At 37.2% G+C, this 13666-nt stretch overlaps 2 protein-coding genes across 17 annotated transcripts in view, besides 1 other annotated feature; both read left to right on the top strand.

The window, feature by feature from the left end:
• TPD52-MRPS28 (TPD52-MRPS28 readthrough) overlaps positions 1–13666 on the top strand; it is a 252848-nt gene that overhangs the window by 123320 nt on the left and 115862 nt on the right. The window contains exon 5 of the mRNA NM_001387778.1: positions 5577–5625. Coding sequence (NP_001374707.1) covers positions 5577–5625 — 49 coding nt within the window. The remainder of the gene's footprint in view (positions 1–5576; positions 5626–13666) is intronic.
• TPD52 (tumor protein D52) overlaps positions 1–13666 on the top strand; it is a 140483-nt gene that overhangs the window by 123320 nt on the left and 3497 nt on the right. For 8 of the 16 annotated variants that reach the window (NR_105034.2, NR_170693.1, NR_170694.1 and 5 more), the window contains 2 exons: positions 5577–5625; positions 10010–13500. Coding sequence is in view for 9 of the 16 variants with exons in the window: in NM_005079.4 (NP_005070.1) it covers positions 5577–5625; positions 10010–10129 (169 nt within the window). In the remaining 7 variants the exon portion in view is untranslated. Of the gene's footprint in view, positions 1–4036; positions 4079–5576; positions 5626–10009; positions 13501–13666 lie in introns of those variants that run through there. The other 8 variants (NR_105036.2, NR_105033.2, NM_001025253.3 and 5 more) reach the window with 3 other exon arrangements.
• Positions 11199–11248: an enhancer, noted in NCBI's record as "active region_27553". NCBI's record gives its function as "activates an Ori minimal core promoter by ATAC-STARR-seq in GM12878 lymphoblastoid cells {active_cell/tissue: GM12878}" and the evidence as "EXISTENCE:reporter gene assay evidence [ECO:0000049][PMID:35858748]".

Genomic DNA, 13666 nt, shown 5'->3' with positions numbered 1-13666 from the left:
AGGGAGATGTATAAGGAAATAGAGAAGAGAGAGAGAGAGCTGCTCTTGATGTCCTGAGAATGAGGTGTGGTGGTAGCAAGGCCAAGGAGGACGTGGTCATGAGTGCTGTCCTGGGAGGCCCTCTGGGGCAGCCTGCTTTTCCCTCAGGTGATATGCTTATATTTCCCCTCTGTTTGCATATGTTCTATGCCTATGTGAAAGTATTGACTCATGCCTTTAGCATTTTGAGGGAAACTTTAAAAGAACCTTCTCATTGCAGTCAGTGCCAGGGTTAAACATAAAATTTTAGTGTTATTAAAAGCATACTATAATATTCAGTAGACACATTTGTCTCATATTTTTGGTATATTTAAGAGGAAGTGCTAATTAATTTTGCCTTTATTTCCAAAGAAAATTTCTCCTTTTTAAATGTGTGTTTCTTCATGTGCCCCTGTAGATATTTATTTGGTTTGGGCTCATTAAAGTCCTGCTAGACAATTCCCTTTTGCTGAAAACTTCCACCACTTAATGGGAAAAGAAATGATCTCTTTCCTCGTGTCAGAAAAAGAATATCTTTTGATTAGAATTTGAAACACTTTAATGAACTTTTCTCTGTTTCATGCCCATATTCCCAATTTTAGTTATCAAAATTGTTTATTCATTTATTCATTCATTCTTTCACTCAAAAGTATTTATTGAGTGCTAACTATGTGCCAGGCATTGCTGTAGACTATAGGGGTGGAGCTAAAAACCAAAATAATGCTGAAATTTGAAAGCTTCAATGTGAAATTTGAAAGCTTCAACGTGATATGCTTATATTTCCCCTCCTGTTTGCATATTTTCTATGCATATGTGAAAGTATAATATACAGTAGATGCTAATTCATGTTTCAATTAAAGCATGTGTTATAATAATAATTAACATTTATAAGCCCAGCGAGACAATAGTACCTCAGAAGCAGATGCTATTGTTTTTGATATTACAGATGAGGAAACTGAGCCATAGAGAGATTAAGTGACTTCCCCAAGGTTGCACAGCAGGTATAAGTGGCTGATGGTCAGGACTGGAACCGAGCACACCTAGTCCTGGAGCCTGCACTGTCCTCCTGGGCCTCCCCAGAGCAGTGGTGGTTTAAGACAGTGCCCCTCTAGGCACTGTCCAGCACTTTGAACAATAGCTGCTGTGATCACCAACATCAAAAGATTGTGTGAGGGCAAAGTGGAATAATAGTACATCAATAGCTGTGAAAAGCATACGTGGTATATAGTAAGCAGTCCAACATGTTAGCCATTAACTTTCCCTTCTCCTCCTCCCGCTGCTGCTACTTCCTTCCTTATCCTCCCTCTACCCCCTCCTCTCTTATTATTATTGAGCATGAAAGCATCAGATAACTGTTAGAAACAAGGAATATTTTTTAAAAATCAATTCAGCTGTTTTAAAAAAATGACTTTTTCAAAGTAAGAGTAAATGCAGTGTGAGATTGAAAAGTACTTAGTGAGAATCAGATTATCCTGATTTTTTTTTTCAGTGTTTTGAGGAGCCCATGTTTGCATTCCTAGTTTGATTACAGATTAATGTATTTGGGGGTTACAAATAAGATGCAACATTTTTAACAAAATGTGCCTTATAGATGGTAACCGATTCTTACAACCTATCTATTAGAGATGATTCTGGTCCCGTAGCAACATGACTTTTTACTTTTGAAGGTTTCCATATTACATTTAAGCTTGAATGAAACTGAAAATGATGAGCAAGTTGAAGCTTTGTGTAACTTGCCATAGAGAAGCCAGAAATGAAAGAACAGCCACCCTATAGTTAGATTACAACTAGTTACCAACAAAATTGAATTTCATCTAACTATGGATTATGGGGAGGATCCAGCAACCAGATAGAATTGAAGCTGATGTGTGCTCCTTTTCTTCCTACTATAAAATAGCTACCATAAAAGCAGAGAGACCTTGACTTTGACTCTGTTAACTGATTTTATTCTGTTTAATGGGTATATTTATCTTCAAGTGTGATATAATGCATACAGAAAAGTGCTCAACACCAAATTCATTTCAGTGATTTTTTTCACAAAATAAACAGTCTAGTCACTTCCTTGCCTTTCCTTATATATTACCACTGAAACATATTTAGTAGGTACATGCTAGGTAAAGTGGTATAGAGCCCAACCGATCCACTGCTGGAGGAAGTGATATTGTACATGGGTTCTTAGGGACAGTGACTAGAATTAGCTGTGAAATTCTGAAATTTGCACTTACTTATCCACCTGTTTCCACATTTTGTTGATACTACCAAATTCAATGTGTGGGTCCCCGGGACAAGGAATTTATCACATATTTGGCCATTACCTTCTTTTTCAGCGATTTCTGCCAAAATGAATGTCCTAATGAAGAGTTTTGATTATTAGGAACAGAAAGCTATGTAACTTTTAGCTCACCTAAAAAGAAGAATGTGTTGCACAAATACAAAGTTTTTTTGTAATTCAAGGAGAGAAAAGAAAGCAAGGCCAGGCTCCACCCAAACCAGCTCCATCAACTGGGAAATTGAAGTAGCTTCTATTATTGAAACCAAGAAACCTATTCCTCTTCCATCCTGCTGGATTCCCTGCATGATCACCTCTCCTGACCTCATCTGCTCTACCTCTCTGTGTGCTTATATTCGATTCTTTCTTTGGGAACTGGTTTCCTCTGTGTTCTGTCAGCTTTCACCTGGTCCCACCAGATCCTCTTCAACATCTAAGTGTCCAGCAGCTTAGTGTCCTAATTACAATATGCTAGGATAAGAGTCTTAATTGTCTTCACTCCTTCATTTTTCATACATTCCAAACAATTTGTAGGCCACTGGGAGGTTAGCAGTGGTGGGTGGTGCTCCACTGATCCACCTATCATATCAGTTATGGTAGAAGGTGGTTTGTGGCAATGTGACTATTCCAGGCAGCTTCAGCAGAAGGGTCTGAGGAAGAACAGGTGATACTTAGAGTTCTGGTGTTGTAAATTTAGAGATTGGGACCAGCACACTTTGATAGATCCAAAGTAGGAAAAGAATTATCAAATTCCTCCCAGAATAGATTATTATACTCTTATACCCTAGGTATTGACCACCATTGTAGGATAGAGAGAATACTGAGTTACATGCATCTTTTCCTGTTATGTAAGACATCAAGTACAGAGGTGTTTAAATATTTCATTGATAATCCTGATTACACAGATTGCCAGCATATTTGACATATATCACAATCATTCTCCATGTTATCAGATATTAATGCAAAATTAGATTTGAGGACCTACATTGAAGACACGTTATCATTTGTACCAAATGAGTCTTTAAGAAAAGGAAATCATAAGCGCACAAAATATTTAAATATAACTGAGAATTAATACCTTGAACCTATACACTTTACCCAAAGGAAAGTTTATTTACCAAAGTCGTGCCAGTGGTCAAACTATTATAAGCATAGTAACAATATTAGCAGAATACAATCATTTTACGAGCCTAGGAATGAAGGCACTCTCATCTCATGAGGTGGTCTTTATGGGAGATGGCTAAGAGTAGGTAACCTTGAACCTGAGTGGTCAGTGAACTGCATTGTCCTTGAGTGGGCAGTTGCCTCCTTGTCTTACTAAGAGCCCTTCCCTGGCCTTGCTTGTGTGTGTATGTGTGTATGTGTGTGTGTGCATGCTTCATTTTTGAGGGGAGGCGATAAACACTGAATTAGACCCAAGTTCTATTCTTGATTCTGCTGTGACCTACGGTAACTCATTTAACACCTATATGCCTTACAGCTCCGGGTGAAAGCACTTTAGTTTTCAAAGTGCTGTAAAAATGCAAGGTGGTATTGTTAGCTCTAGTAACTCCTGGGAATTAATTGGCTCCTGAATAAAAGTAAATTATGTTGGAATAACTTTGATCCCCTCCACCTCAAAAAGTAGGTAATTCTTCATGGCGCCAAGAGAATAAAGCTCCTGGGGAGCTAAGTTTTGTCAGCTTTTAATAATGTTGAAGCACCACTATACTAACCTTATTTCTATCTCTTTTTAATGCTGCCTCTTAGTATACGTTCCATTCAGCATTCAATTAGCATGCCTGCTATGAGGTAAAGTATATTTTTATGAAATGTAGTTGGTCTTATGCTTTATTTTTCTTTATTTAGATGTTTAACTTGAACTGTTCTGAATTAGGGAACTAGAATTCCCCTTGAAACAAGCTGTGTGTTTAACACTCTATCAGTTTTCAGCTACACTTCCTCTGATGTTGGGATGGGTGCAAGAGATCCGTTAAATGTTTTGATTTTGTTTTTAAAAAAATTATTTCTATTTTATTTTGTAAAACCTTTGTTTCCTGTCTGAAATCTGTTCACAAAGTGAGCACTACTTGTTAACAAACCTTCTTTTGTCCCGCCACCTCTGTCTGCATTCGCTTTAGTTACATTCTCCTTTTCTTCATCCTTCCCATTTTCACTTCCCCCATCCCACTGTGACATTTGGAGCCAACTATGATTTAATTCTACTATCTGCTTTCATTAGCACTTGCAAGTGATATTACCTCACCTAACCTCTCTAGAGAGTTAGAGGATTTTTAACAATCTGTGCTTGGCTTAAACTTAAGTGTCCATCAAAATCACTTGGAGTGCTTGTGAAACCGCTGCTTGCTGGGCCCCACCTCTAGAGCCTCTGATCCTGTAGAGTTGGGGTGGGACCTGAAAATTGGCATTGCTTATGACTTCCTGATAGCTGCAGCAGCAGCTGGTCTGGGGCCCACACTTTGAGAGCTGTTGGCTTAACTGTTCTGCCATCACCACCGTGGGAAGGAAGAAACCCCTTTTCCTTTCTTTGCATTTTTCATCTTGGTAGTAGGAAGGATATTCAAGGTCAGTTGGATAGGATAACAGCATTGGAAACCCTGTTTCCAAAGCGCCTTTGTGAGAGACAAAGGCGCTATGATCCTCCTTAATTAATATGGATAGATGTGAATGTAACATGGATGAATGAATGTCCTGTGGGCTCAGCGTGCTCTCCTCATCCTTTGGGACAGAGTTGTGAAGTAGGCAAAGCCGTTTCTATGCTTCTCCCCCTTCTTTTTGGTCCCTGCTTTCCCAGTCTATTATGCTGCTCCCTGATATTGAACCTCATAAGCTTGTCCCACTTAGGTGATGTGTGTTCATGTAGAAATTCTGCCAGGGAAGATGTGAATCAAAATAGGGATTTTAGAGCGTAGTACCTTAACCAAAATTAAACTGATCTAATGGTGGCATTTTCTTGTACCATGACAAGTTGGTTGGGGAAGTGACAGAATTGCTATTTTACCCGGCTTCGTTACCTCTCCTTACACACGTACTTGACCATATCTATATTACTTATGTCTGAGACTGGCCCTGTTCATGGAATCAAATGCATACTCTTAAAATATTAGATCAGAAATTGAGAATCTTACATTATAAATACTTGTATGTACCTGCACATATATGGTACAGATTATATCTGTTCTTTTGCCGATTGAGAATAATGTTGAAGAGGAATCAATTATATTTTCAAACTAGTTGGATTTTTTTTCAGTATTTGTATTTACTATTTGTTTTTCTTTTCTCTCCATAGAAACTCCCCAACTTTTAAATCATTTGAAGAAAAGGTCGAAAACTTAAAGGCAAGTAGAGAGATGAACAGGGTCTTTTTGATACATTGCCTGGTGTCTTAATTAACTTTGCTGTGCGAAAATCATTGACATTAATATTTCTTTCTAAAAATATCTAAAGAATGTAAATAACTTTACTCCTTATGTTACTAGTGGACATTTAAGGTGTTATGTACTTAATATCTTTTTAGTGTATGCTGTAGTGTGGCAGCATGCCACATGCTGAAAGGAAATGTACAATTTACAAAGAAATGGCACTTTAGAAATTTGTGCTGCTTTTTGCTTTATTCATTTCAAGTACCTTTGTAGGTGGACAAAATTTAATATAACTTTCTTGTCAACAATTAACAAGAATATAGGAAGCACAAGAAAGAAAACAAAAAATTGGTCCTACCACTCAGACAGTGATAGATGTATGTGCTATTATGCTGTTACGCTTTAAAAAAGAAGTAGCCATACATCATAATCATTTTCCTGTATCAGTAAGTATTCTCTTTCAATATTATGTGCAATGGCTGCTTGTATATTACTTTTTTTTTTTTTGAGATGGAGTCTCACTCTGTTGCCCAGGCTGGAGTGCAGTGGCGTGATCTTGGCTCACTGCAACCTCCACTTCCTGGGTTCAAGCGATTCTCCTGCCTCAGCCTCCCGAGTAGCTGGGACTACAGGCGCGTGCCACCACACCCGGCTAATTTTTTGTATTTTTAGTAGAGATGGGGTTTCACTGTGTCAGCCAGAATGGTCTCCATCTCCTGACCTCGTGATCCGCCCGCCTCGGCCTCCCAAAGTGCTGGGATTACAGGTGTGAGCCACCATGCCTGGCCTGTATTACCTTATAATGGATATTATTTGTTCAGTCCTCAATTGTTGGACATTTTTTTTATTATAATGATGCCATGATGATCGTTTATGATTCACTGTTTTTATTTTTTGATTTCTTTGATTTTAGTGGAGGTGAACATTTCCCCATAATAATGAGCTTTATTGATTTGTAAATTATATTATCTTTGAGATTATATTCAAAGCTATAAAATCATCAACTCTTAGGATCACAGGCAACCTCAAAAGTTGTCTAGTTCCCATCTATTCCTCGACCCTCTCTACGGAGTTTGTATAAAACCCATATTTTCATTACTTCCTAACTCTGATAATTATAGGGGATATATTTTAAGGATTAAAACTAGTATCTTAAATGTTTTTATATCAGTCAGTTTAAAAACTAATATTCAGTTTAGTCTTTCAGAACTTTGAGTCACGAAATGCATCTTTAAAAGCAGGGTACATTTATTGAAATAAAACACTCTACAGTGATCTGGATCTTTTTTTAATTTATTTTTTTATTATACTTTTAAGTTCTGGGATACATGTGCAGAATGTGCAGGCTTGTTACATAGGTATACACGTGCCACGGTGGTTTACTGCACCCATCAACCTGTCATCTACATTAGGTATTTCTCCTAATGCTATCCCTCCCCTACCATCCCACCCCCTGACAGGCGCCTTGGTGTGTGATGTTTGGATCGTTTTTTTTCTTGAACATACAAACGTTAGTACATACCTTTTCTGTTTGTATGCAGACATATGAATGTTTTTTCAGAAGAGGAGTTACACTGTACACACACAGTCCTACAGCTTATTCATTCAGCCCTCACTAGCAGGGTGCTTTGTGAGCCATAAATGCAGGGACCTGTTCTTTTTGGTCACTGATACTTCTCAAAGGCTTAGAACAGTTCTTGGCACATTGCTCAATATGCATCTGATGAGTAACAATATATATAAGAGTCATTCTTCTATGTCATTTCAAGAGACCTGCTTTATTTTTCTTAGTGCCAAGTCATATATTTGAAAGCAAACTGTAGTTGCAGGAAGTCAAGGATTACTAAAATTCAGTTCTCAATATTGTTAGGACTGTTATAGCCTTTCCTTGAAATCTGCCCCAAGTGTTAATTTTTGAAATGGCAAATTGGAAAACCAGGAATCTTATGTGTTTTTGACATTGGACATGAGGAGAAACTTCCAGGTCATTCACTATATACTCTCCTGAATATATTTAGATTCTATAAATTGTAATGAAGTCTGCTTTAAAATATGACTAGGCACCATTCAGATTAAAAAGTGTAATTTAAAAACATACAATATGTTGGCTGGGCGCAGTGGCTTACACCTGTAATTCCAGCACTTTGTGAGGCCAAGGCAGGCAGATCACTTGAGTCCAGGAATTTGAGACCAGCCTGGGAAACATGGCAAAACCCTGTCTCTACCAAAAACGATAGAAAAATTAGCTGATGTGTTGGCATACACCTGTAGTCCCACCTACTCGGGAGGCTGAGGTAGGAAGATCGCTTGAGCCCGGGAGGCAGAGTGAGCAGCGATTATGCCACTGCACTCCAGCCTGGGTGACAGAGCCAGACCCTGTCTCAAAAAAAAAAAAAAAAAAAAAAAAAAAGGATAGCGTATTAAACAGATACCCCAAGTATCCTAAGGAAGCTGTAAAATTACATGCTGGGGATATAATTTTGTTAAATTACATTTATATTTAATTAAACATGAGGTCCATTTAGATTTTGGGTTGATTCATTCATCTGTGATTACTGAGCATTTGCCATGTGCCAGTCAATCAGTATTAGGCACCAGAGTTACCACAGTGAGCAAGAGAGACATGGACCCCTTCTGCAAGATGCCTAGACAATTAAATGGCCAATGAAACTAAAGTGAGGTAAGGGTTCTGATGTGAAAAGCTGAGGGTGTGATGAGGACAAGTGGCAGAAAGTTCACCTGGCTTGGTGGAAGGGAAGGTCAGAGAAGACCTCTTAGAGGACTCAGTAATGTCCATTGAGGATTTTAGGTTGAAGGGAATGTTTGAAGTTTGAGGGCCCTTTTGAGGACCACCAAGAACTTCACTGTGCTGTAGGATATTGAGCAGGAGGTGAAGCTAGAGAGATGTGTAGGCCACATTGCAGAGTTTGAACTTGGGGCAATGGGAAGCCATTGAAGGGTTTTAAACAACCCAAGTGGTGCATTCTTCTGTAAATGTTAGAGAGATCAGTGGCTGCCCTGCACATCAAAGGGGAGAACGATTGGAGACAGGCAGATTAGATGGAAGGACGGAGTTGTACTCCAAGCCAAAGATGATGGAGAGTGAATTAAGTTAGTGCAATGGGACCAAGTCTAGAGCTATTTAGAAGTGAGAAGTGACACGGAAAAAAAAAAAGATTGATTGGATGTAGAACAAGTTGGATAAGAATCCAGGACAACCCCAGGTGTCAGGCTGGGGCAGCTAGGTAGGTGCTATTGCCATATAAAGTGTTAAAAAAGAATAGAGAAGGGGCTAGTTGTCGGGGGAAGGAGTTCAGTTTTAGACATGTTGAACTGCAAGGAGATTTGATACTATAATTAAGGAATGTGTTTTAATAAATTTAATAAACAATGAACACACATTATTCGCATTTCCCAAACAATTTGGATGGTAGATCAAAAAGAATGAGAGTGAAAATAAGGGGTCTGTGACCACTCAATTAAGATTGAGCTAAGAGCAAGGTCAAGTTCAAACCCACTATAAGCTTCTTGCATCCATGGTCACTGACTGTTTTCTTACTGTTAGCTGTCCTGTTGGACAGTGTAACAGTGAGAGAGCATATACAGATTAGCATTGAAAAGGATAAAGTGACATGTGTAAGGGTTTTGAAAAAGTATTATACAAATGCAAGGCAGATATATTGAAATAAATGCTTATTGGCAAAATTTCAGGCCAGATAGGTTGGAGTAGTGCTTCACAAACTATAATGTGCACATGAACAACTCAGGGATTTTGTTCAAGTGTTGATTTCAATTCTGTAGCTGGAGTTGGGTGGGGTAGAAAGGATATCTGAGATCCTGCATTTCTAATAAGCTCCCAGGTAATGTTGAGTCTGTAGGTCCTTGAACCACACTTTAAGTATTAAAGGGTTAGAAAGCTTATACTGTAACTGAGAAAAAAACATATATTTCTTTCCCATGTTGTATTCAATATTTCTTGAATGAGTGTAGCTAAATGAGCAATTCGATGCAATACAAAATGTTATGCAAGTGTAGAGACAGACAGTTCACTAGGTACTTTAAAATAATAGACCTTACAAAGTTTTCTAGACAGACTTCCTGTGAAGAACAAGGAGCAGGGGGAAAGGGGAAGGGGTAGAATTTACCAATCTGAATATTTCAGCAAGGGAGAATGCATGAGTTTTACTATAAAACCACACTGAACATTGCAACAATACTAAATTCCATACATATATAATAATCACTGAGCTATAAGGTTGCTGATGTATTTGTTCTTGAAAGTGAATTAGAGTTACTTTATGCAGAATCAGCTAGTTTTATGTTTCATAATGTCTTTCCCTTTTTTGAACTTTTTTTTAAGTCTAAAGTAGGGGGAACCAAGCCTGCTGGTGGTGATTTTGGAGAAGTCTTGAATTCGGCTGCAAATGCTAGTGCCACCACCACGGAGCCTCTTCCAGAAAAGACACAGGAGAGCCTGTGAGATTCCTACCTTTGTTCTGCTACCCACTGCCAGATGCTGCAAGCGAGGTCCAAGCACATCTTGTCAACATGCATTGCCATGAATTTCTACCAGATGTGCTTTTATTTAGCTTTACATATTCCTTTGACCAAATAGTTTGTGGGTTAAACAAAATGAAAATATCTTCACCTCTATTCTTGGGAAACACCCTTTAGTGTACATTTATGTTCCTTTATTTAGGAAACACCATTATAAAAACACTTATAGTAAATGGGGACATTCACTATAATGATCTAAGAAGCTACAGATTGTCATAGTTGTTTTCCTGCTTTACAAAATTGCTCCAGATCTGGAATGCCAGTTTGACCTTTGTCTTCTATAATATTTCCTTTTTTTCCCCTCTTTGAATCTCTGTATATTTGATTCTTAACTAAAATTGTTCTCTTAAATATTCTGAATCCTGGTAATTAAAAGTTTGGGTGTATTTTCTTTACCTCCAAGGAAAGAACTACTAGCTACAAAAAATATTTTGGAATAAGCATTGTTTTGGTATAAGGTACATATTTTGGTTGAAGACACCAGACTGAAGTAAACAGCTGTGCATCCAATTTATTATAGTTTTGTAAGTAACAATATGTAATCAAACTTCTAGGTGACTTGAGAGTGGAACCTCCTATATCATTATTTAGCACCGTTTGTGACAGTAACCATTTCAGTGTATTGTTTATTATACCACTTATATCAACTTATTTTTCACCAGGTTAAAATTTTAATTTCTACAAAATAACATTCTGAATCAAGCACACTGTATGTTCAGTAGGTTGAACTATGAACACTGTCATCAATGTTCAGTTCAAAAGCCTGAAAGTTTAGATCTAGAAGCTGGTAAAAATGACAATATCAATCACATTAGGGGAACCATTGTTGTCTTCACTTAATCCATTTAGCACTATTTAAAATAAGCACACCAAGTTATATGACTAATATAACTTGAAAATTTTTTATACTGAGGGGTTGGTGATAACTCTTGAGGATGTAATGCATTAATAAAAATCAACTCATCATTTTCTACTTGTTTTCAATGTGTTGGAAACTGTAAAATGATACTGTAGAACCTGTCTCCTACTTTGAAAACTGAATGTCAGGGCTGAGTGAATCAAAGTGTCTAGACATATTTGCATAGAGGCCAAGGTATTCTATTCTAATAACTGCTTACTCAACACTACCACCTTTTCCTTATACTGTATATGATTATGGCCTACAATGTTGTATTTGTTATTTATTAAATTGTGATTGTTTTATTATTGTTTATGCCAAATGTTAACTGCCAAGCTTGGAGTGACCTAAAGCATTTTTTAAAAGCATGGCTAGATTTACTTCAGTATAAATTATCTTATGAAAACCAAATTTTAAAAGCCACAGGTGTTGATTGTTATAAAATAACATGCTGCCATTCTTGATTGCTAGAGTTTTTGTTAGTACTTTGGATGCAATTAAAACTATGTGCTATCACATGTGAAAAGCTTAATAAATTCCATCTATCAGTAGTATAGGTCTCAATATTTATTATGAGACCAGTGGTCTGGAAACAGCTTGTTGTACCGAATCAACTGGAGTCTATGCTTAAAAAAAAAAAATTTTTTTTTAACCATCCTTAAATTATTGCTTAATGGTATCATATTAACATATTCTAAATAAGGGCTTTAAGGCACAGGCTGTTGAAGCATTTTCTCAGAGGAGTGGATCTGTAGAAGTCTGTCTTTCTATAGAAATATTGTGCTTACTCAAGTGTTAAATTATTTTTTCTATGAACTAGTCTACTTCTTAAAATTCAAACATATTCTTTTGATCACATTGTTTCTTGAGCATCCTGCCCTGCTACTAACTTTTCAACAAGGCAAAATGGAGTAAAGTGGCAATTTCTTTAGATGAGTGAAATACCCTCAAGTCTCTTTTCTGCCCAAAAAGGGAAAAGTGATAGAAATGGGGGTGGCAAGTGGGGTGAGTGGATGAAGGTGGGTATTGGGGGTGGCTGTGAAAGAAAATAATGGAGAATCACTTTTCTAGACATCTACCTATACTTAATCTAAGAAACAAAGTAATCTACTGTAAAGTACTCTGCCCCTTGAAAGAAGTATTAAAAAGAGTGAGGATGGATTTAGAAAAAAACATGAATTTAGAAATATTCAAAATGGTTTTTGTGGCAGATTCAATATTATGAATTCACAGATATTTAAAGAATGAGAAACATAGTAATTAGTAGAAATGCCAGAAACAGTTCCTGGTTCCTCTTGTGTTTGACACTAAGAAAATAGCAAGAGTGTGAAATCTCAGATACTTATGAAATCTCACAGATGTAAGGACTCAAGTGTAGAAGAAAATATCCCCTTCTTACAAAAAGAAATGTCAATTTATGGAGTTTGTGGGAAATAGGGCAAGAATTCTTATGCTTATGAGAGCCAAGTAGTCAGTGGAAGAGAGTAGAGCTCAAAACTGGATTATCACCTTAGCAACTTAGAATAGTTTGAAATAGAAAAAAAGTATTTAATTTGGATCTGGATCTGTTAAGATATGCACAGTCTATTTTTTGTATAGTATTGGAAAATAAAAATGCTATAATTTGGGTATGGGTTCTTTTGTATACATTACCTGCCCATTGAGGAAAGGGGCAAGTCCATTATGCAACTTCTCTCCAAACCCTTCATATTCTGGATATGATACTTAAAGAGCCATGAGCAGCTACATTCTGCCTATCAGAAGGCATTTATTAAATGACTGCTTGCTGAAGATGTGTCCAAAGAGATCCTACATTAAGGTCATTTGTCAGAATGATGTTTGTGTTTGTTTAGAGTTGGCTGACCTCCAACTCCTGGGGTCAAGGAATCCTACTGCCTTAGCTTCCCAAATAGCTAGGACTATAGGCATGCACCCGGCCATGTGTTTTATTTATAGCTCTTAAAGCCCAGATGAAGAAATCACATTTTTGCCCATAGTGAAGAAACATTTGGCCATTGATTAGTCCTTATTTTCAGTGACTGTCCTGTTTTCATTAGATTAGAGAGACCCTGTGTGGGCCACAGTTAATATAAACCATTATCACTTTTAAGTAAACCTGCACATCTTAGATTTCATAATTTCCTTATTGTTCTGACTCAAAATGAACTAAGAGCTTTTCACTTTTTGTTTGTAAGTTCTCAGAGAGTCGGGTCTGCAAGTGCTTTTGCCTGCCAGGATTTTGTACTCAAATAAATGCTATTTGGCAACTAAAATTCTTGCCAGCTCTCATGTAATTTTGATGTTACTGAGGTTGGTTGGTAGTTTATTTTATTAATTTTGTGGTTCTTCTATCATATAGAAAAAGCCAAATACAGTTTTGTTTGAATATTTGTAAATGGACGTGATCTTTCACTTTACCACTCTCCAGCATGCTTTAAAGTTTCTCCTTGGTTTCTAGAATTGATTCTCTGTTCTTATTTTCCATTTTGACTATTTTTTAGTATTAGAATTCTTCCAGCTCCTAAATGCTATTGTCTATCTGTTGTTATCTTCTACATGATC

This window comes from Homo sapiens, chromosome 8, assembly GCF_000001405.40.
Source record: "Homo sapiens chromosome 8, GRCh38.p14 Primary Assembly".
Lineage (NCBI taxonomy): Eukaryota > Metazoa > Chordata > Mammalia > Primates > Hominidae > Homo > Homo sapiens.
This window is presented reverse-complemented; position numbering and strand designations above follow the sequence as displayed.